Source organism: Homo sapiens, chromosome X (genome assembly GCF_000001405.40).
Source record: "Homo sapiens chromosome X, GRCh38.p14 Primary Assembly".
Taxonomy (NCBI): Eukaryota; Metazoa; Chordata; class Mammalia; order Primates; family Hominidae; genus Homo; species Homo sapiens.
In genome coordinates, this window is record NC_000023.11 from 68254058 (window position 1) to 68279495 (window position 25438).

General features: G+C 40.8%; 1 protein-coding gene across 7 annotated transcripts in view; it reads right to left on the reverse strand.

Moving 5' to 3' along the window:
* Positions 1-25438, reverse strand: part of OPHN1 (oligophrenin 1) — a 391498-nt gene that overhangs the window by 211714 nt on the left and 154346 nt on the right. For all 7 annotated transcript variants that reach the window (XM_011530961.2, NM_001437258.1, XM_006724653.3 and 4 more), the window contains one exon: positions 20681-20752. In XM_011530961.2, coding sequence (XP_011529263.1) covers positions 20681-20752 — 72 coding nt within the window. The remainder of the gene's footprint in view (positions 1-20680; positions 20753-25438) is intronic.

Genomic DNA, 25438 nt, shown 5'->3' on the forward strand with positions numbered 1-25438 from the left:
CTCAGAAACTGGATATGTCAGCTTCTTTCTTAAGCCTCTCAGCTTTCTTAGACTTCAGGGGTAGGTGTGCATAGACCTGCTCACTGTGGAACAGTGCTTAAGACCTGCTGGAGGAACAAAAGTGGTACAAGCAGCATGAAGGTAGCAAAAGAATATGAGTATTATTCCTTGCTCTGCCACTAGCTTCCCGTAGGACCTAGGAGGTGTCACATTCCCTCTCTGGGTCTTTGAGGCAATCTCTCTTTGGAAAACAAGATATGGTGAAAGTGCCTCTGTGATTATTATATTAAAGTACTATAGATAGATAACCAGTATTTTTCTCTTTCCTGCCCTTTGAATATATTCCAGAGGCTCCTGGTTAGAGTCCAGCATCTCTATTCTCAAAAGGCCATTATGACAGTCACTGTTCATTGCCAATTCAATAGCCATCCTCTTTCTTCCTATTTCTTCAGATATCAGGCAGGCAAGCAACGTTCTCCAAAAAAAAGTGAGCCCCCCTCCCAGGCCAAAGGGGAATTTTAGTACTCCTATGTCTTTTTCCTAAATATTGTCCTAGGAGTGGGCCCACAACTCCGCTATTGCCAATGAGTTATTAGGGAAAGTCAGGTGGCAACTTTGGTAAGACATTTTTCTCTTGGATAAAAGACAAACTATGCCATGTGAAAAGAGCCCTTTATGGCTGGGCATGGTGGCTCATACCTGTAATCCCAGCAATTTGGGAAGCCTCGGCTTCCCAAACACCTGAGGTCAGGAGTTCACAACCAGCCTGGGCAACATGGTGAAACCCCGTCTCTGCCAAAAAATCCAAAAATTAGCCAGGCGTGGTGGCATGTGCCTGCAATCTCAACTACCTGGGCGGGGCTGAGGCATGAGAATTGCTTGAGCCTGGAAGGCAGAGGTTGCAGTAAGCCAAGACTGCACCACTCCAGACTGGGAGGCAGATCGAGAATCTGCCTCAAGAAAAAAAAAAAAAAAAAAAAGAGCTCCCCCACTTCCTTTCTGCTTGGGATGCTAACATGTGAGTATGTAATATGTTGAGCTGTGACAGCCATCTTATGACCCTGAGGTGAAGTCTAAGAGAACCACGGAGAAAAGACCTGGAGGACACTGACTGAAACTTCTAACTGCCTGCCTCAAGAGTTCTTAAGTCACTTACCCATACATATATATGATACAGTTAAATTTATAAATTAGCGACAGTAAGAGATGAGCAACAATAACTACTAAAATAGCACAACAAAAATTATAACAATATACTGAAATAAAAGTTATGTGAATACGGAAAAGGAAAGTAATTAAATCAACAACAAAAGTTCTCATAGTGTTTGATGATTAACTTTATGTGTCATTGTGGCCATGCCACGGTACCTAAACATTTGCTCAAACACTAGTCTAGATATTTACTTAGAAATAGTTTTTAGATGAGATTAACATTTAAACCAGTAGTCTTGCGGATATGTGGGCCTCATCTAATCAGTCAAAGGCCTCAGGAGTAAAAAGACTGAGGAAGACGACTGAGGAAGAGGAAGAGGGAATGCCTTTGGATTTGAGATGCAACATCAACTCTTCCCTGAGTCTCCATCTTGCCAGCCTGCCCTACAGATTTTGAACTTGCCAGCCCGTACAATCATATAAGAGAATTCCTTAAACTAAACCCCGCTCTACATACACACACACACACAAACACACACACACACACACACACACCCCTTGTTCTGTCTCTTTGAAGAACCCTAAGACATGGTATAATGATTTTTGACTAAAAATATACAAAAAGCCTAACTGACTCATTCAATCACTTTGTTCCTAGGCATTTATTATTCCTCCCAAATATCCTAGGACAGAAAGTCATTACTGAAGTGGCTGTGTTGTCTGGGGTTTGTCATCTCTTGCCAGGAAAATTTAGGAAACGGACACATACGAGGAGCTTAGGAGCAGAGGTTTAACAGGCAGAAGAGAGGAGAAAGAGAAACAGCTCTCTCTACAGAGAGAGGGGGGTCTCCAAAAGGAAAGGACCTGCTCACTGCGAATGCACCAGATTTTATGGTCCAGCTTGAGGAGGTAGTGTCTGATTTAGGTAGGGCTCACAGATTGGTTTGATCAGGAGCAAGGGGAAGGCTGGTCTCACCGCCCTAATCTTATTCCACAAATGAATTCTCCTTGGCGGGCACTATCTTGTCTGCTTCTTACTGTACACATGGCTGGCAGAGAAAGGATGATGGAGGAGCCATCTTGAACATATCTAGTCTCTAGTTCCTGCCAGCATTCACTCATGCAAGCTCTCAGCTTGCTTGTCTATGTCTGCAGCTCGACTTTACAGGCTGCGCATTGTTAGAAAATGATTTGAGGCTGCTTTTCATTAAAAAGAAAAGTCTTACCAAGGACTCCTATACCCTTACTATCTGCCTAAGTGATTTCTTCTTAACTCCTATATCATTACCAAAGTCCCTGGAATCTTAATATACAGGCACACCTCATTTTTATTATGCTTTGCTTTATTATGCTTCACAGTTACTGAATTTTTTACAAATTGAAGGTTTGTGTCAACCTGGCATGGATCAAGTGTACCAGCATCATTTTTCCAACAGCATGTGCTGACTTCATGTCTCTGTGTCAGCATCATTTTTTTAGCAATAAAGTTTGTTTTTTAATTTTACATATACATTTTGTTTTTAGACATAATGCTATTGAGGGCCAGGCACAGTGGCTCACATCTGTAATCCCAGCACTTTGGGAGGCCGAGGTGGGTGGATCACTTGAGGTCAGCAGTTTGAGACCAGCCTGGCCAACATGGTGAAACCCCGTCTCTACTAAAATTACAAAAATTAGCTGGGTGTGGTGGCACACTCCTGTAATCCCAGCTACTCGGGAGGCTGAGTCAGGAGAACTGCTTGAACCCGGGAGGCGGAGGTTGCAGTGAGCTGAGACTGCACTATGGCACTCCAGCCTGGGTGACAGAGCGAGACTCCATCTCAAAAAAAATTAAAAAAAAAAAAAGACAAAAAAAAAGACATAATGCTATTGAACCTTTAATAGACTACAGTACGGTGTAAATGTAACTCTTTTATGCACTTGGAAAGCAAAATTTTTGTGACTCATTTTATTGCACTATTCACTTCATTACAATGGTCTGGAACTGAACACACAATATCTGCAAGGTATGCATTTATTAGAGCTTCCAGAAACCCATTTGCTAATGCAAATTAACAGTTAAGAATATGGAATTACTGTTAGAAGGCATTCAATTTTAAGCTTTTCTGGCATATGGCTGAAGCCAAGTAGCAAGAACAAAATTATACCACCCTGTTCAGGATAAAGAGAATGGACTTTGGAATTGGAGAGACCAGAAAGACCTGTATTTAAATCCTGGCTCTGCCATTTTGTAGCCTGTGTGACCTTGAACAAGTAGGTCATCCTCTCTGAGCTCTGGTTTCCTGTTCTGTAAAATGGGGGATAAAATCTTCACAGGGTACTGTAAAAATTAGATGGCAGTATAGACCCCAATGCATAGCAGGTACTGAAAAAAAAATATTAGCTCCCTTACCTTCCTCTACCAACAAAATATTTATTAGACCTACACAGCTACCAATAGCCACAGGTGGCTACATTACCTTAAATTAACTAAAATCAACTAAAATTTAAAATACAGTTTTTCAGTTACACTAGTAACCTTTCAAGTATGTAGTAGCTACACGTTGCTAGAAGCTATTGTAGTGGAAAACTCAGATATAGAACATTTGACATTTCCTCCAAAAACAGGGAATCCCCAAATTACAATCCAATTTAGGGAGATACATGCTCTTGATTTCCTGTATCTCCTGTCAACTCCAGACATGACTTTGAAGCCAGCTAATATTAGGAACCGAGTTACAAGCTCACAAAAGGAAACCTCATTTCAGCGAGATCACCCTTGTAATTACAAAAATGCTCTCAAATAGTTCAAGTAGAAAGGGCACCGGGATAGGGAGAAGGGGCAGATAACAGTTTCACTTTGGTTATAGACGGGAAGAGAAAACTAGTGTCTCTCCGCTCTTTGATGCAATTCCCTTCTACTCTAGTGAAGGATGGCAAGGGAGATGGAAAAAATATGACCTCATCCTGGGTCATGGTCCATTCTATGTCACTGACAACAAGATAATATTCCCTTTCCACCCTCTACTCTTCAGGCTAAATGTGGCCATTATTCTTTTATTTATTTATTTTTTTATTTATTTAAGTTTTAGGGTACATGTGTACAACGTGCAGGTTAGTTCCATATGTATACATGTGCCATGTTGGTGTGCTGCACCCATTAACTCGTCATTTAACATTAGGTATATCTCCTAATGCTACCCCTCCCCCCTCCCCCCTCCTCCAACCCCCCACCCCACAACAGGCCCCTGTGTGTGATGTTCCCCTTCCTGTGTCCGTGTGTTCTCATTGTTCAATTCCCACCTATGAGTCAGAACACGCAGTGTTTGGTTTTTTGTCCTTGCGATAGTTTGCTGAGAATGATGGTTTCCAGCTTCATCCGTGTCCCTACAAAGGACATGAACTCATCATTTTTTATGGCTGCATAGTATTCCATGGTGTATATGTGCCACATTATTTTTCAGACATAGATTACCTTGTAAGAGGGTAATAACATTACCACATCAGCTGTGTGGGTACATTCCCAGATTGCTTGAGCAAAGGGGTTTACTCTATGCCAGATACTTTACATATGTGGTTGGTATTAAGTAGAGCTGCTCTGTGTCTGTACAGCAAATTTCTCTTCCACCAGTGACTGCTTCCTTCTCTATATACAGATTAGAGACACAATACACACTTGCTGAATCAAATTCTCTTGCATCTTTCTGAACTAACTCATTTTCCTTGGATATGCAGCAAATAAAACACTTTTATACTGCTAGTGATGAGTGATGATATAAATTGACACAACCATTTTGTAGACCAATTTGGCAACACATCTAGTAAAAATGCATAGATTCTACAACATAGAAATTCTATTTCTAAGTATATACCCAGGAGAAGAGTTGAAATATGCACAAGGAGACATGTAAATCACTGTCACAGGAGTATTGTTTGCACTCACATAAAAAATGGAAGCAAATGACTCATCCATCAATAAGAGAATGAGCCTGGCACAATGCCTCACAATCCAAACACTTTGGGAGGCCAAGGCTGGAGGATCACTTGAGACCAGGAGTTCGAGACCAGTCTGGGCAATACAGGGAGACCTCATCTCAACAAAAATATTAAAAATTTGTGAGGTTTGGTGGTACATGCCTATAGTTTCAGCTACTCGGGTGGCTGCAATGGGAAGATTGCTTGAGCCTGGGAGTTTAAGGCTATAGTGAGCTGTGATTGTGCCACTGTACTCCACCCTGGGCAACAAAGCAAAGCCTTGTCTCAAAAAAAAGATAATTGTTTAAGAAATCATGAGAAAAAAAGCAATATATAAAAGAGCACCTGCAGATCATTCCTTTTTTATAAATATGAAAATCAGTAGTAGCAAACATTTGTATGTTATGTACTATATGTACCAAACTATTCTGAGCATTTTACACATAATAAGGCATTTTATCCCCACAACTCTATGTGGTAAGTACTATAATTTATCCCATATTATAGATAATGAAACTAAGGCAAAAAGAAGTTAAGTGACTTGCCTACACTCACCAGCTACTAAGTTGAAGAGCCAAGATGCAAACCCAGGTAGTCTGGCTCCAGAGTCCACTGTCTTAACCAGTATATTATGTAAAACAATACTATATACTGCTTAGGGAAATTCACCTATGAGATAAAAGGGAAGGAAAGTCATCATAGAGGAAGAAGGTCCATATATGAGGATAATCAGGAGGATAAACCCATAAAGCCATTGTCTCCATGTATGAAGAAACACGGATTGCTGGTGGAAGGTGCTACAAAGGAGATATTAAGGTTTTCTAATGTTCTTTTCCATTTTTTGAAATTATAACATATACTCTGAAAAATACACTATACAAATGTCAAAAAATTTTCACAAACTGAACACACCCATGTCATCAGCACCCAAGGTCAAAACAACAAAATATTACCTGAACCCTTGAAAGCCCCTTTGTGATTCTTTTTTTTTTTTCAGTAACACCCCGACTCTTGGAGGTAACCACTAACCTGGCTTCTAACATCATCACTTAGTTTTACCTGTTTTTGCACTTTATAGAAATGGACTCATATAGCAGGTAATCTTTCGTGACTGTTTTTTTTTAACTCAACCTTGTATTTCTCAGATTCATCTATGTTACGGTGAACAACAGCTCTAGTTCATTTGTTCTCATTGCTATAGAATAATGACAATTTGCCACAATGTATATATCCATTGAACTGGTGACAGGCATTATTAATCTTTTTTTTAATCTTCTGATACGAGCCCCACAAAGCAGGGTTCAGAGTGCAGGGTAGTAGAAAGAGCACAGTCCCTGGAGTAACAAAAATCTGTTTTAAACTAGCTTCTGTTAATAACTATGTGTCCTTCTACAAGTTATTTGGCCATTATGGGTCTTGACTTCCACATCTGTAGGATACAAATAATAATAATTGAAAGGACATAAACCAAGTACCTAGTACATGGTAGTTATTATTGTAAGGCTTATAAAATGTTTGCTACAGACTTGGAAATCACTTACGGATTACTGTCACATAGCTTAATTCTTTAGCACCTTGGCCACTTGATCTTCCCTGCTAATGCACTCTGGTAGCCATTGAAACCCAAACATGGAAATTCAAATTATTTGGATCTATCAATGGGTGGTTTGCTGATGTTTCCTTCCCCTCTTTCCCAGAGCAAGCACTGGCCTTTGGAATGCAGACCAACACTAACACCTTTGTCTTCATCTACACTGTCAGGTTTGTGCCATCTTTGATACGTTTTCAGTCTCATCTACCTCCAGAACAGGTCCTTTTCTTAAAGTTCTTTCTGTGATAACTGTACATGGATGAGAAACATCATTAAGACTGACAATCCCATGTCCTGTCATCAATGCCCTCTTGCCTGCCATCTCTTGGGTGAGAACACACTATATCATAGCTTCCACACTAGCTCCCACTCTCCATGAAGTGGGTTAAATGCAGACTCAGATGTCTTAGTCAGACAATTTGGCCCTGGTCCCACCAGAAACCACAAAAAAGCTCAATTCAGTGGCTGTTCCTCTCTGGCAAGGGCACCCTTGAAAAAGAACTGAAAACATCATACTGTGGGCAACTCTGACAAGACCCAAAAAATATGAATCAAAGGGTACAAATACCCTCCCTGTCATAAGGCTAGAGGGGATGACTGAGTCTTTATTCTGCCATCCCTACTGGACAGTCTAGCATTCTACACTGCGGGATGAAAGACCCATTATAAACAGAGCTGGACTAAGACTTGCTTGTCCTCCCTTAATCTTGGGTCAGAGAAGTCGGTGGGGGGAGGCGGGGAAGTTGCATGATTATAGGAAGGCGAATAGTGGTGAGAACAGTTCTGCAAATCAAGTGATAAAGTGTACACATGGGGAAGGATGCACAAACTTTGCATGTGTTGGGAATTTTGAGAGGTGGGAGGGATAGGAGTGAACCAAAAAGAAATCTAGAGTGTGGCTGCTCAAAGAACTTTAAACATAGTAGAGAAGAAATTAGGAAAAAGGGGCAAAGAAAGGAATCATCCTTCATCTATCGTTGGCTCCAGAAATTAACTCTTACATTAACCCAATATAAGATATGTCAAAATTCATGGACTCGCAGCCAAAGAACTTGGGTTCAAATCCTGGATTGTCCACTTCTTTTTGCCACTGTCAAATAAGTCTATTAATAATATCAATAAGATTACATTAAGGTTCCAGACTAGAATAGTAATGTTATAACCCCTAAAATGAAAAATGAAGGTGTGGTTGATGGGAGTTGAGGGCTAAAAGGGTTAAGCAAGACAGAAGTGCTAATATCTTCATCTTACAAAGCTAGAGTCAAAAGTTGATGAAATAAGAAATAAGAGTTTAAGTATATTATTTAAAATAACAGAAGTAAGCAGTACAAGAAGTAAAATGGTCTTATAATTATCAAAGAGTGGAAGAAGAGGGAAAGTAAGGGGGAAGTGTGAGCAATGATCTCCTGTATTCTCAGCATGGAGAAATAATTTTTAAACTAAAATAAAACATAGCAATATAAGCATTTTAAAATATAAAAATAACTAAGAATGAAACATAAATGGTTAACAGTGGATACCTCTGAGTAGTGGATAAACATGAGAAGACTTTTGATTTTCTTTGTGGACTCTGTATTACTATTTTATTTTTAAAAATATGTCTATGCATATATCTGTTATAAAATTTTAATTTTTAAAATGGAAAAGTTAGCATTAATTATTTTCTCAAAAAGTAAGGATTGTGAAATAGGGTTAGTCTGATGAAACTGCAGATCACACATTAAAGTTAGAAAAAAAACAAATGTCCAGCTGGGCGTGGTGGCTCACCCCTATAATCCCAGAACTTTGGGAGGCCAAGGTGGGTGGATCACCTGAGGTCAGGAGTTCGAGACCAGCCTGACCAACATGGAGAAACCCCATCTCTACTAAAAATACAAATAAAATTAGGTAGGTGTGGTGGCACATGCCTGTAATTCAAGCTACTTGGAAGGCTGAGGGAAAAGAAGCGCTTGAACCCGGGAGGCGGAGGTTGCGGTGAGCTGAGATCACGTCATTGCACTCCAGCCTGGGCAACAAGAGCGAAAGTCCGACAGAACGGAAAGGACAGGACAGGACAGGACAGGACAAGAAAGGAAAGGACAGGACAGGACAGGACAGGACAGGACAGGACAGGACAGGAAAGGAAAGGAACAAATGTCCATCTCATTGCATAAATATACCAACTCCATACAGAAGTTGAAAGACATAACCTATTTAATTGAAAACAGGAAGATCTATCTGGTTTAACCATAAGGAGGTGGTTTACAAATATTTTTAACCAATAGAGTTCTGTTATAAAAGACATGTTGCCCCCAAATTCCACTATAGAAAACACATCCAAGGTAAAGTGCCACTTGAAGCATCAATGCCACTTGAAGAAGTTAATCCTGCTTGAATAACAGGATGAGTTTATATGGAATGTGTTCACTATTAGTTCAGAGCATTCTCTGTGTTATTTTGTTCCTTCCTTCATTGCTTTCATCCTTCCTCCCTACGAACCTCCACTTCTATGACAAAGAGATATCCTCCCACATCCTGCAAAGCCAGAGACACATACTGGGAGACCTAGTAATATGAAACCTCTTCATATGCCAGTAGCCACTTGGGAAACACTCAATGTTCAACACCCCTATCCCTCTGTTCCTGCCTCATTCATTAACTTCTCAGTTCTTTTTTGATTTTTAATTCACAGTAAGTCCATCGTCAATCGGACAGTTTCATGGAGCACTTTCTATCCTCCCTATTCTATTACCAGTACTAACAAGAATTACAGTGATGAAAGAAAATTTTTTAGCACATATAATTGATGAAAGAAACTTATTTAGTGCATATTATTTGCCAGGTACTGTACTAAGAACTTTATATATGTTAACTAATTTAATTAATTAAATAACTATCTGTATATGAATTTTCATCAAATACTTCCTCCTCTTGATTCTAAAGCCTGATAAAGCCCATGAACTATCTACCAAATGGGCAGGAGCTACCTATCAAATGTAATTTCTTTGTCTAGGTCAGTGTTATCCAATAGAAAGATAATGCAAGCCACACGTAATTTTAAAATGTTTAGTAGTCACATTTCAAAAAGAAAAAATAAATAAGTGGTCAAATATTATCACTTAAACATATAATCAAAATTAAATGTTAATATTTTCTATTTTTTCAAACTGTCTTCAAAATCCAGAGTATATTTTAGGGTATATTTTCCACTTACAGTGCAACGAGTTCTGTGTACTGTATTTCTAGTACTCAGCGGACAAATATTTAGTTAATTACCCTCAGAATCTCAAACTAGGTGCTGGGAAAACTGGCTACCCATATGTAGGCAGCTGAAACTGGATCCCTTCCTTACATCTTATACAAAAATTAATTCAAGATGGATTAAAGACTTACATGTTAGACCTAAAACCATAAAAACCCTAGAAGAAAACCTAGGCAATACCATTCAGGACATAGGCATGGGCAAGGACTTCATGTCTAAAACACCAAAAGCAATGGCAACAAAAGACAAAATTGACAAATGGGATCTAATTAAACTAAAGAGCTTCTGCACAGCAAAAGGACCTATCATCAGAGTGAACAGGCACCCTACAGAATGGGAGAAAATTTTTGCAATCTACTCATCTGACAAAGGGCTAATATCTAGAATCTACAAAGAACTCAAACAAATTTACAAGAAAAAAACAAACAACCCCATCAAAAAGTGAGCAAAGGATATGAACAGACACTTCTCAAGAGAAGACATTTATGCAGCCAAAAGACACATGAAAAAATGCTCATCATCACTGGCCATTAGAGAAATGCAAATCAGGGTAAAGCCAAGATGGCCCAATAGGAACAGCTCCAGTCTACAGCTCCCAGTGTGTGCGACGTAGAAGATGGGTGATTTCTGCATTTCCAACTGAGGTACTGGGTTCATCTCACTGGGGAGTGTCAGAAAGTGGGTGCAGGACAGTGGGTGCAGTGCACCAAGCATGAGCCAAAGCAGGGCGAGGCATTGCCTCACCCGGGAAGTGCAAGGGGTCAGGGAATTCCCTTTCCTAGTCAAAGAAAGGAGTGACAGACAGCCCCTGGAAAATCGGGTCACTCCCACCCTAATACTGTGCTTTTCCAACGGTCTTAGCAAACGACACACCAGGAGATTATATCCCATGCATGGCTTGGAGGGTCCTACGCCCACAGAGCCTCACTCACTGCTAGCACAGCAGTCTGAGATCAAACTGCAAGGCAGCAGCGAGGCTGGGGGAGGGGCGCCCGCCATTGCCCCTATGCTTGAGTAGGTAAACAAAGCAGCCGGGAAGCTCAAACTGGGTGGAGCCCACCGCAGCTCAAGGAGGCCTGCCTGCCTCTGTAGACTCCACCTCTGGGGGCAGGGTATTGCCAAACAAAAGGCAGCAGAATCTTCTGCAGACTTAAATGTCCCTGTCTGACAGCTTTGAAGAGACTAGCAGTTTTCCCAGCACGCAGCTGGAGATCTGAGAACAGACAGACTGCCTCCTCAAGTGGGTCCCTGACCCCCAAGTAGCCTAACTGGGAGGCATCCCCCAGTAGGGACAGACTGACACCTCACACAGCCAGGTACTCCTCTGAGACAAAACTTCCAGAGGAATGATCAGGCAGCAACATTTGATGTTTGTCAATATCTGCTGTTCTGCAACCTCTGCTGCCGAAACCAGGCAAACAGGGTCTGGAGTGGACCTCCAACAAACTCCAACAGACCTGAAGCTGAGGGTCCTGACTGTTACAAGGAAAACTAACAAACAGAAAGGACATCCACACCAAAACCCCATCTGTACGTCAAAATCATCAAAGACCAAAGGTAGATAAAACCACAAAGATGGGGAAAAAACAGAGAAGAAAAACTGGAAACTCTAAAACTCAGAGCACCTCTCCTCCTCCAAAGGAATGCAGCTCCTCACCAGCATCAGAACAAAGATGGATGAAGAATGACTTTGACGAGTTGAGAGAAGAAGGCTTCAGATGATCAAACTACTCCGAGCTAAAGGAGGAAGTTTGAACCCATGGCAAAGAAGTTAAAAACCTTGAAAAAAAATTAGATGAATGGCTAACTAGAATAACCAATGCAGAGAACTCCTTAAAGGACCTGAAGGAGCTGAAAGTCAAGGCACAAGAACTACATGATGAATGCACAAGCCTCTGTAGCCAATTCGATCAAGTGGAAGAAAGGGTATCAGTGACGGAAGATCAAATGAATGAAATGAAGTGAGAAGAGAGGTTTAGAGAAAAAAGAATAAAAAGAAACAAACAAAGCCTCCAAGAAATATGGGACTATGTGAAAAGACCAAATCTACGTCTGATTGGTGTACCTGAAAGTGACGGGGAGAATGGAACCAAGTTGGAAAACACTCTGCAGGATATTATCCAGGAGAACTTCCCCAATCTAGCAAGGCAGGCCAACATTCACATTCAGGAAATACAGAGAACGCCACAAAGATACTCCTCGAGAAGAGCAACTCCAAGACACATAATTGTCAGATTCACCAAAGTTCACATGAAGGAAAAAATGTTAAGGGCAGCCAGAAAGAAAGGTCGGGTTACCCACAAAGGGAAGTCCCTCAGACTAACAGCTGATCGCTCGGCAGAAACTCTAGAAGCCAAAAGAGAGTGGGGGCCAATATTCAACATTCTTAAGGAAAAGAATTCTCAACCCAGAATTTCATATCCAGCCAAACTAAGCTTCATGAGTAAAGGAGAAATAAAATCCTTTACAGACAAGCAAATGCTGAGAGATTTTGTCACCACCAGGCCTCCCCTACAAGAGCTCCTGAAGGAAGCACTAAACATGGAAAGGAACAACCGGTACCAGCCACTGCAAAAACATGCCAAATTGTAAAGACTATCAATGCTAGGAAGAAACTGCATCAACTAACGAGCAAAATCACTAGCTAACATCGTAATGACAGGATCAAATTTACACGTAACAATATTAACCTTAATGTGAATGGGCTAAATGCTGCAATTAAAAGACACAGACTGGCAAATTGGATAAAGAGTCAAGACCCATCAGTGTGCTGTATTCAGGAGACCCATCTCTCGTGCAGAGACACACATAGGCTCAAAATAAAGGGATGGAAGAAGATCTCCCAAGCACATGGAAAGCAAAAAAAAGCAGGGTTTGCAATCCTAGTCTCTGATAAAACAGACTTTAAACCAACAAAGATCAAAAGAGACAAAGAAGGCCATTACATAATGGTAAAGGGATCAATTTAACAAGAAGAGCTAACTATCCTAAATATATATGCACCCAATACAGGAGCACACAGATTCATAAAGCAAGTCCTTAGAGATCGAGAAAGAGACTTAGACTCCCACACAATAATAATGGGAGACTTTAACACTCCACTGTCAACATTAGACAGATCAAAGAGACAGAAAGTTAACAAGGATATCCAGGAATTGAACTCAGCTCTGCAGCAAGCAGACCTAATAGACATCTACAGAACTCCCCACCCCAAATCAACAGAATATACATTCTTCTCAGCACCACACCACACCTACTCCAAAATTGACCACATAGTTGGAAGTAAAGCACTCCTCAGCACATGTAAAAGAACAGAAATTATAACAAACTATCTCTCAGACCACAGTGCAATCAAACTAGAACTCAGGATTAAGAAACTCACTCAAAACCGCTCAACTACATGGAAACTGAACGACCTGCTCCCGAATGACTACTGGGTACATAACGAAATGAAGGCAGAAATAAAGATGTTCTTTGAAACCAATGAGAACAAAGACGCAACATACCAGAATCTCTGGGACACATTCAAAGCAGTGTGTAGAGGGAAACTGATAGCACTAAATGCCCACAAGAGAAAGCAGGAAAGATCTAAAATTGATACCTTAACATCACAATTAAAAGAACTAGAGAAGCAAGAGCAAACACATTCAAAAGCCAGCAGAAGGCAACAAATAGTTAATGAAGATCAGAGCAGAACTGAAGGAAACAGAGACACAAAAAATGCTTCAAAGAAATCAATGAATCCAGGAGCTGGTTTTTTGAAAAGATCAACAAAACTGATAGACCGCTAGCAAGACTAATAAAGAATAAAAGAGAGAAGTATCAAATAGATGCAACAAAAAATGATAAAGGGGATATCACCACCGATCCCACAGAAATACAAACTACCATCAGAGAATACTATAAACACCTCTATGCAAATAAACTAGAAAATCTAGAAGAAATGGATAAATTCCTCGACACATATACCCTCCCAAGACTAAACCAGGAAGGAGTTGAATCTCTGAATAGACCAGTAACAGGTCTGAAATTGAGGCAATAATTAATAGCTTACCAACCAAAAAAAGTCCAGGAGCAGATGCATTCACAGCCGAATTCTACAGAATACAGAGGTACAGAATACAGAGGTACAGAATACAGAATACAGAGGTACAGAATACAGAGGTACAAGGAGCAGCTCGTACCATTCCTTCTGAAACTATTCCAGTCAATAAAAAAGAAGGAATCCTCCCTAACTCATTTTATGAGGCCAGCATCATTCTGATACCAAAGCCAGGCAGAGACACAACAAAAAAAGAGAATTTTAGACCAATATCCCTGATGAACGTAAATGCAAAAATCCTCAGTAAAATACTGGCAAACCGAATCCAGCAGCACATCAAAAAGCTTATCTATCATGATCAAGTGGGCTTCATCCCTGGGATGCAAGGCTGGTTCAACATATGCAAATCAATAAACGTAATCCAGCATATAAACAGAACCAATGACAAAAACCATATGATTATCTCAATAGATGCAGAAAAGGCCTTTGACAAAATTCAACAACGCTTCATGCTAAAGACTCTCAATAAATTAGGCATTGATGGGACGTATCTCAAAATAATAAGAGCTATCTATGACAAACCCACAGACAATATCATACTGAATGGGCAAAAACTGGAAGCATTCCCTTTGAAAACTGGCACAAGACAGGGATGCCCTCTCTCACCACTCCTATTCAACATAGTTTTGGAAGTTCTGGCAAGGGCAATCAGGCAGGAGAAGGAAATAAAGGGTATTCAATTAGGAAAAGAGGAAGTCAAATTGTCCCTGTTTGCAGATGACACGATTGTATACCTAAAAAACCGCACTGTCTTAGCCCAAAATCTCCTTTAGCTGATAGGCAACTTCAGCAAAGTCTCAGGATACAAAATCAATGTGCAAAAATCATAAGCATTCTTATGCACCAATAACAGACAGAGAGCCAAATCATGAGTGAACTCCCATTCACAATTGCTTCAAAGAGAATAAAATACCTAGGAATCCAACTTACAAGGGACATGAAGGACCTCTTCAAGGAGAACTAGAAACCACTGCTCAATGAAATCAAAGAGAATACAAATAAATGGAAGAACATTCCATCCTCATGGGTAGGAAGAATCAATATCGTGAAAATGGCCATACTGCCCAAGGTAATTTATAGATTCAATGCCATCTCCATCAAGCTACCAAAGACTTTCTTCACAGAATTGGAAAAAACTACTTTGAAGTTCATATGGAACCAAAAAAGAGCCCACATCGCCAAGTCAATCCTAAGCCAAAAGAACAAAGCTGGAGGCATCATGCTACCTGACTTCAAACTATACTACAAGGCTTCAGTAACCAAAACAGCATGGTATTGGTACCAAAACAGAGATATAGACCAATGGAACAGAACAGAGCCCTCAGAAATAATGCCACATATATACAACCATATGATCTTTGACAAACCTGACAAAAACAAGAAATGGGGAAACGATTCCCTATTTAATAAATGGTGCTGGGAAAACTGGCTAGCCATATGTAGAAAGCTGAAACTGGATCCCTTCCTTACACCTTATACAAAAATTAATTCAAGATGGATTAAAGACTTACATGTTAGACCTAAAACCATAAAAACCCTAGAAGAAAACTCAGGCAATACCATTCAGGACATAGGCATGGGCAAGGACTTCATGTCTAAAACACCAAAAGCAATGGCAACAAAAGCCAAAATTGACAAATGGGATCTAATTAAACTCAAGAGCTGCTGCACAGCAAAAGAAACTACCATCAGAGCGAACAGGCAACCTACAGAATGGGAGAAAAATTTTGCAGTCTACTCATCTGACAAAGGGCTAATATCCAGAATCTACAATGAACTCAAACAAATTTACAAGAAAAAAACAAACAACCCCATCAAAAAGTGGGCAAAGAATATGAACAGATGCTTCTCAAAAGAAGACATTTATGCAGTCAACAGACACAGGAAAAAATGCTCATCGTCACTGGTCATCAGAGAAATGCAAATCAAAACCACAATGAGATACCATCTCACACCAGTTAGAATGGCAATCATTAAAAAGTCAGGAAACAACAGGTGCTGGAGAGGATGTGGAGAAATAGGAACACTTTTACACTGTTGGTGGGACTGTAAACTAGTTCAACCCTTGTGGAAGTCAGTGTGGCAATTCCTCAGGGATCTAGAACTAGAAATACCATTTCACCCAGCCATCCCATTACTGGGTATATACCCAAAGGATTATAAGTCATGCTGCTATAAAGACACATGCACACATATGTTTATTGCGGCACTATTCACAATAGCAAAGACTTGGAACCAACCCAAATGTCCATCAATGATAGACTGGACTAAGAAAATGTGGCACATATACACCATGGAATACTATGTAGCCATAAAAAAGGATGAGTTCATGTCCTTTGTGGGGACATGGATGAAGCTGGAAACCATTATTCTCAGCAAATTATCACAAGGACAAAAAACCAAACACCACATGTTCTCACTCATAGGTGGGAATTGAACAATGAGAACACATGGACACAGGAAGGGGAACATCACACACTGGGGCCTGTTGTGGGGTGGGGGGAGGGGGGAGGGATAGCATTAGGAGATATACCTAATGTAAATGACGAGTTAATGGGTGCAGCACACCAACATGGCACATGTATACATATGTAACAAACCTGCACGTTGTGCACATGTACCCTAGAACTTAAATTATAATAATAATTAAAAAAAAAGAATCTCAAACTAACAGAAGATCAGATTTGGAATATTTGTCCATTGTTCTTGTTGTCATGAGCCATGAGAAAACTAAGGTTCGGAGAGAAGTGCTGTTTCCTGCAAAGTGAAATGAGCCCTAGACTTACAACCAGATCTCAATTCATATCCAAGCTACTGAGTGACCTTAGAGGCTACACCTCACTGAACTTAGTGTCCCCACCTGTTAATGGGGGATAATAACTTTTGCAAGATTGTTCTGAGGTTCAAATGAGAACTGGATATGTATGAGTAAGGGCCTAATATAGCACCTATCACAACCAGTGAACTCACAAAGCCAGCTAGCAGCAGTGCTGGGTATACCAGGCTAAGTCCAATCAGGAGATAGAAAACCTTACAAATAATTGACATATAAGAAAACTCTATATGGTACTCTAAGTTTAAGGAAAAGTACTCAAATAAGGAGAAATTTTAATGGGGTTCAGACCTCACTTGAAAAGCAGTAATTTGGTGGGGCGTGGTAGCTCACGCCTGTAATTCTAACACTTTGGGAGGCCAAGCCAGGAGGGCTGCTTGAGCTCAGGCATTCGAGACCAGTCTGGGCAACATGGCGAAACCCTATCTCTACAGAAATTACAAAAAAAAAAAAAAAATTAGCCAGGCATGGTGGTATGTGCCTGTAGTCCCAGCAACTTGAGAGGCTGAGGTGAGAGGATCACCTGAGCCCAGGGAGGTTGAGGCTGAAGTGAGCCATGATTCTGCCACTGCACCTCAGTATGGGTGACAGAGTGAGACCCACCCTGTCTCACAAAAAAAGAAAAGGAGTAATTTAACACTCCGGATAGCAGAATGTTTGCTGATTTGGCCCGGTGGTTCATAGTTACTATGTAAGCAGGAGGCAACTCACCAGATTACAAAAAAGCAGGCCAACAGTGACCAGCGGAGAAGGTATAAAGAGAAGGTGGGAAAACTGAGTTGCAGGTGAGCTCAACGGGGCCAGCCTTGTTTGGTGAGAACCCCCTAGGGTGCAAGCTCAATGTATGAGGGCCCTGCAGAGAGGGTAATAGCTGCATGATAACTCTTCAGCCAGCAAGTGGGCCATGTGGGGTAGGGGGTCTACAGAAGGAAGCTGAGGGACAGCATGGTCATGAAGGCTTCAAGGAGATTGAGGCACCATGTGTCTGGGTGGGTGGCTGGGTCAGAGTTCCATCAAGCTGTCCTCCCCACCCTGCCCCAACCCCGCCTCAGCTGGAAACTTCAAGAGATCCCCCTTCCTCCTGCAACGTCCTCCAGCTCCCTCTACTGAGAAAGTTTAAGAGTGTGCTCACTATAAAGGAAAGATGCTTAAAGAAAATCTGTCCATTATCACAGAGCAGGTATTGAGAGGCTTGGAATTGATTGGCAATAAATTGATAACACACAGGGGTAGCCTATAAGCTTCATTTTGACTATTGGAATTCTAGATAGTTTATTGGAGACATGACTCATACTAAGTTGGTCTTCTTTGTAGATATGCAGGTTGGCCTTACTGGTAAAGAAGTATGAAAAAAGATAGATACATATTTAACCTTTCTGAGACTCACTTTCTTCATTGAGACAATGGATATTAAAAATCCTACCTCACAGGTTTGCTGTGAGAATTAAGGAAGAAAGCATATGTAAAACCCTCAGTGCAGGCATGGGCCATAGGAAGTGCAGTCATGCACCACAAAACAATGTTTTAGTAAACAATGAACCGCATATACAATGACAGTCCTATAAGATTATAATACAGTATTTTTATATGTATGCTTTATATGTTTAGATAAACAAATACTTACCATTGGGTTATAACTGCCTATATTATTCAGTACAGTTAACACCCGTACAAGTTTGTAGCCTAGGAGCAATAGGCTATACCATATAGCCTAGTTGTGTATTAGGCTAGACCATCGAGGTTTGTGTTAAGCAAACTCCTATGAAGTTCACACAACCATGAAAACATGTAATGATGCATTTCTCAGAACAACATTAGGCGACGCATGACTGCACATAATACAAATTCATTTCCATTTGCTCAGATAATATGAGGGCAACCATGGTAGCATATCCTTACTTTCCTAGTGTTATTCTTATAAGGGAATGAAAGTAAATCAAATTGTTTCACAAGTGGTTAAGTATTTTTATCCTCAGTTGTAATTTTAAATATACTTCTATTCTTCAATCATATCCTCTCCCAACTAAGTATTGATGTTAATGAGACTCCAGTGAAACAAGTATTGCTGGGCTATGAGGGGAACTCACTTTGCTTGAACACCAGTCATTTCTAACAATGCCCATGTCAATCTGATGATAGCAGGTAGTGGGAGCTCAACCACTAATTTGCTCTTTCTTCTCAAAATTTGGTACTTTCATGGCCAGGCATGGTGGCTCATGCCTGTAATACCAGCACTTTGGGAGGCTGAGTTGGCAAGAAAGTGTCTTTTAAAAAAAGAAAAACTTGCTGTTTTCAAATTCTTGATCCAAACTGATTGTCATCATATTCCAAATAATATCTACTGGTTGGTATGCTCTTAGTCCTAAGAAAACTAGATGCTTGGACAAGATGCTGTATTTTAGCCCTGGTAGAAGAAACTACCTTTGCTACATGGTGGATACACATTGAGAGCTCATGAAACAGACCTACACCTAGCTGAAAAGATTAAAAATGAAAATTATTAACATCCCTTCAACAGACATTGGAGAATCACAGAGATCCATGTGATGGTCAAGCTGAAAAGAATGAAATTAACTGGCACTCAGTATTGTCCAACGGAACTTTGCACAATGATGGAAATGTATTTTATCTGCACTGTCCAACACAGTAGCTACTAGACACAAGTGACTGCTGAGCACTTGAAATGTGGCTAGAAAGAATGAGGAGCTGAGTTGTTAATTTAATTTTATTTAAATAGATAGTAGTTACCATAATAGACAGCAAAGATCTAGACAGCATAGCTTAATGTAAAGAGTATGGAACGTAAAGCTAAAAAGACCTTTAGGTCTAAATCCAGGCCACTATCACTTACTAACCACATCAGTCTGTTCTAGCACTGCTATAAAGAAATACCTGAGACTGGGTAATTTATAAAGAAAAGAGATTTAATGGGCTCACAGTTCTGCAAGCTGTACAGGAAGTACAGCAGCTTCTCCTTTGGTGAAGTCTCAGGAAACAAAATCATGGCAGAAGGTGAAAGGAAAGCAGGTACATCTTACATGGCCAGAGCAGGAGCAAGAAGTGGGGGAGTTGCTACATACTTTCAAACAACCAGATGTGATGAGAACTCACTCACCACTAGGAGAACAGCATCGAGGGGATAGTACTGAACCATTCATGAAGGATCCACCCCCATGATGCAATCACCTCCCACTGGGCCCCACCTCCAACACTGGGAATTACAACTGAACATGAAATTTAGGTGGGGACACAGATCCAAACTATATCACCAGCTATATAACTTTGGTCATGTTATTTATCTTGTCCAAGGCTCAGTTACCTCATTTGTGAAATGGGGAAAATGCCAGAAGCACACAAAGTCCTTGTGATTAAAGAATGAACGTAAAGCACCTAGCCTAGTGCTCAATATAGCAGGCAGTTGATACATGATAGCTAGCTAGTTTTCCAGACAAAACAACAAAAACACCAAAAGAAGAAGAAACTTATGCACAGATACAGAGCCTGTTGGCCACAAAGTCAGAGGCCAATTCTAGATTTTCTTACTCTCTTTCGTGATCATTTTCTCATAGAAACTAATCACCCACCTCCCCACCCCCTTTGTCATGTTAGCTGAGGCTACTATAACAGAATGCCATAGACAGGGTGACATAAACAACAAACATTTATTTTGCACAGTTTAGGAGGCTGACTAGGCCAAGAGCAAAGCACCAGCAGATTGGTGCATATCTTTGTAAAGTGAAGAATAGTAGCCCATACAACTATTCGATTGCTATTTTAAAAAATCTTATGCATATACAGAAAATGTACCTTGGTGAAGCCTATTTGTTCCTTCCGGAAATTTTCCAAGGGTTTAATCAGCAAATCACTAGCATTGTGTACCTAGACAAAAAGGAAAAACAAACAAAACAATTTCTAGGTTAACAAGGTTCAGATACAAGATTCCTTGTTACTACATTTTCATTTATATACCAACCTGCAAAATGTTAAATGGTTTGCTGATTTGTTGGGTTTTGTTACTGTTTGTTTCTATATTGTTTCTGAAAAATCAAATGCATTGAGAAGAAATGGGAGAAAGAATAAGAGGGGCATTTCTCTGTAACTTTAATGATAGTCTGACCTGAGTTTTTAATCGATAAATATCTGAAGTGATGTCCAGCAGAGGACACAGGAGACCTGAAGGACAGGTGAAAAAGAGAAGAGAAAGAGAATGGCAAATACAAGAAAAGGACAATTGCAGCAAGTGCAAATCATTTCATCAGAGGCAAATGAGTGTGCAGTGATAGCATTAGGATAAAACATTTACAGTCCTGCCTGTGCCATAAAACCAGAACATTTCCTTCAGAATATGGAGTGCATTACAGCATCGCAGAAAACACTAGACTAGGCTTTCAAATTACCTAAATATAAATGCTCAGAAGCTAATAGGAATGGCCTGTTCAGGGACTATTAATATTGGCAATAATAAATATGTTCTGGAGATATGAAAACATCAAAATCAAAGAAGACCCCTTGTTCTTTGGGCAGGTAAAGGTATACAAAGCTTTTTCTTCATATAAACCTCTTATGAGATTGTATATGTTCAAGGCAACAAGTGGGGTTTGTGCCTCCATGGTGAGAGTTAGAATCACTAAAATGGAAGACCCTAGAGAAGGCATCTAAAGGGCTGCATTTTGGGAATCATTGCATTAATTTTTATTAATTACAAGACAGAAAACTAAAAGACAAGTTTCCTTGTCATATGAGACATAGGTGTCAGTAAGACAAGATATATCTTCATAACAAAAATAGACAACAGAGGAAAAAGCCAGTTTTGACAAGATCTGAGTTCTCCAATCTAAGAAGCAATTTTTAACCTACCTCCCCAAAAGTGTGGAAAGTTGTGGGGCATTAGTGCATAGGTTATACGTGTCTTTCAGGTAATTTGGGCCTCTTGTTCTGTGTATAGGTATGATTCAAGGTTCAACTAAATGGGAAAACTCCTAAAATGGCACTGCCAGCCTTTGTATGAGAACATCTTGGTGAACCCTGACATTCTGATCTACTGCAGCTCCTAATGCTATCATCCAGGACAGCCAGCACCCAGCAAAAAAAAATATAAAACTAGGCAAGAAAAAAAATGTTTTCCTTGAGAACAGAGTCATTCTCTATGTCTCCTGATCACCAGTGCTTTTATAGTTGGCTTTCTAAAACTTGTTTGCTACAAGCCTAGACTTAAAAAATCATGAAACCCTTCCCAAAGTTTGCTGATTTTTACAAAATCAGACCTCTTGCCTGCTAACATTTCCAGACCCTGTCTGATTCTCATCACATCTCTTCTCTTCTACTGGATCTATGAAACCCCATTGAGTCCTAATCGTACTATAACCTACCTCCCAGTACGACACTTAACATTCTCTTTATCTCTGAGTGTGCTCATTTGCCAAAGGCAGGAAAGTCTATAAATTCCACCCTGCAAGAGCCCCTAGTAAAGACTTCTCTATGCAGGTCTGATTCATAGAAAGATTCATTTTGGTTGCTTAGGAAATCAAAGCTCCACTAACAATTATGGTATCAAAAAAAAATTACACCAGTGACTCTCCTTAATTGAAAATAAGACTTCTTCTACTAAAAATACCCACAAATTAAGTTATTGGTGTCATAGGTCCAGTACAGAAAGTCATTTTTCTCCTTTACTATTGTGGAAGCTTTAAAACATGGCCACAAACTCTGACATACCTTCCATTGAGAGGTGAGGTCTATGTCCCCTCTACCTTGAATGTGAGTGGGCTTGTTAATATTTTGAACAAATAGAGTACTCCAGAAGTAACACTCTGTGACATTTGAAGCTAGGTCATAAAAGGCCAGCACCAGTTCTCTCCCAGTTCTCTTGGAATACTCCCACTAGGAGCCTTGAGACAGTACATAAGAAGTTTAATTACCCTGAGATTACCAAACAGAAGAGGCCAAATTCTAGTCAATGTCTCATACCAGCTGAATCCGCCCTTCCTGCCATCCCCACTGGAAGGTGCCAAACATTAGGAAAACCATTTTGGACCCTCCATATCAACTCATCTGCCAGGTAAATGCCATCATTTGGAGCAGAAGAATCGCCCAGCTGACCCGTCTGAATGCCTAACCCAAAAAATAATTACAAATAATTAGTTTTAGTTTAAGCCAGTAATCTGCAACCTTTTTGGCACCAGGGAGCAGAATCATGGAAGACAATTTTTCAATGGACCCAGGGTAGGGGGAGGTGGAGATGGTTTCAGGATGAAACTATTCAACCTCAGATCATCAGGCATTAGATTGTCATAAACAGCATGCAACCTAGATCCTGCATGCCCAGTTCACAACAGGGTTTGCTCCTATGAGAATCTAATGCTGCCACTGATCTGATAGCAGGCAGAGCTCAAGCAGTAATGCTCCCTATCCTGCTGCTCACCTCCTGCTGTGTGGTCAGGCTCCTAACAGGCCACAGACTGGTGCCCTGCAGGCTAGGGGTTGGGGACCCTGGTTTCAGCCACTAATATTAGAAAAAGTTGTTATGAAGCAATAGATAATTAGAAAGACAATTTGCAGTTTAAAAAAATGTAATACAGGCCAGGTGCAGTGGCTCACACCTGTAATCCTAGCACTTTGGGAAGCCGAGGCAGGTGAATCACCTAAGGTCAGGGGTTCGAGACCAGCCTGGTCAAAATGGTGAAACCCCGTCTCTGCTACAAATACAAAAAACTAGCCGGGCGAGGTGGCACATGCCTGTAATCCCAGCTACTCGGGAGGCTGAGGCAGGAGAATCACTTGAACCCAGGAGGCGGAGGTTGCAGTGAGCCAAGACTGTGCCACTGCTCTCCAGCCTGGGTGACAGAGTAAGACTCAGTCTCAAAAACAAATAAATAAATAAATAAATGTAATACCTAAGAAGTGGCCAACTGTGAAACATTGAGGAAGTTTTCCTTTGAATAAGAAGTGTACATACTACTTTCTAAAGCACTGTATGGAGCTGGGCCCTTGCATATTCAGGAACCCCCAGGAGGGCAGAGTTGCTGGCTTTTCATGCTCCAAAGGGGATTGTCCTGCATAAGCAAGTGTGTCAGCAACTTCTCTCACAGGGTCCATAAGGCCACTGACTTTTACATGTTTGACCCCAGTTCAGTCTGAAAAATAGTCCATGCTTTACTAGAATTGCAGGACATCATTTTCCCTTAATCACTTTGGCAACACTGCTCCCAGTCTCCTACAGCACAAACAGATACTCTGAATCTTTTCCTCTCTATGACACTCATTGGTTATTATACTATTTTCTGGTCAGAATAGAGACTTAGGAATGTAGAAAAAAGTCACATTGAGGATTTCCTCTTTTTTCTTTTTCACTCCATTTTATTCTTAAACCCCTTAGAACTCTAGCAATGACTCCCCTTTGAAGTAAATTTGGCCTTTAATCTCTTTTCTAATCACTGCATTCATTGTGTGAGCTCACTGGGGACAAAAACTCCCACCTGCTACCTCAGGTAGACTCTTCACCATAACGAGTGACATCCTAAACTCATTAGTGAGTTTCTATCATCAGAATCCTATTGAATAAAGGCCAAAGTAACACTGAAGGTGTTGAGCAGAATAGAGATGATATTCAGTCCAGTATTGCAGGACTGCTCAGGAATCTTTGATGGTAAATGAAATATCAAAAGAGAGCACTGGGCCAGGCGCAGTGGCTTGCGCCTGTAATCCCAGCACTTTGGGAGGCCAAGGCGGGTGGATCAGCTGAGGCCAGGAGTTCCAGGCTAGCCTGGCCAACATGGCAAAACCCCATCTCTACTAAAAATACAAAAATTAGCTGGGCATGGTGGTGGGTGCCTGTAGTCCCAGCTACTCAGGAGGCTGAGGCAGGAGAATCACTTGAACCCAGGAGGCGGAGGCTGCAGTGAGCCGAAATCACGCCACTGCACTCCAGCCTGGGCAACAGAGGGAGACTCCGTCACAAAAAATAAAATAAAAAAAATTTTTTTTTAAAAAAAGAGCACTAAAGACAGGCTGAAATATTATGGGGGCCTCTTTAGGTCACTTTTGGCCGTCTTCAAAAACAGACCTTGCACATTGCCAACAGAGGCCCCTTCAGAGTCAGAAAGGAATCTAGGCAAGCTTCATAATCATATAAGAAGTGTGCAATTCAGACTTTTCAAGGCCCTCCCCCGCTCTTTTTTTTTTTTTTTTTTTTTTTTTTTTTTTTTTGGCAGGGCCTTACTCGCCCAGGCTGTAGTACAGTGGCATGATCATGGCTCACTGCAGCCTTGACCTCCTCAGGTTCAGGTGATCCTCCCACCTCAGCCTCCCGAGTAGCTGGGACTAGAGATGCACGATAACGCCCAGCTAATTTTTGTATTTTTAGTAGAGACGGGATTTCACCATGTTGACCAGGCTGCTCTTGAACTCCTGGCCTCAAGCGATCTGCCTGCCTCAGCCTCCCAAAGAGCTAGGATTAAAAGCGTGAGCCACCGCACCCAGCCCCAACAGTATACTTTTGAGAACATCACAGGGATGCCCTTCCTCACTTCTCCCCATCATAATTCCTTCCCCAATTTATATTCATTT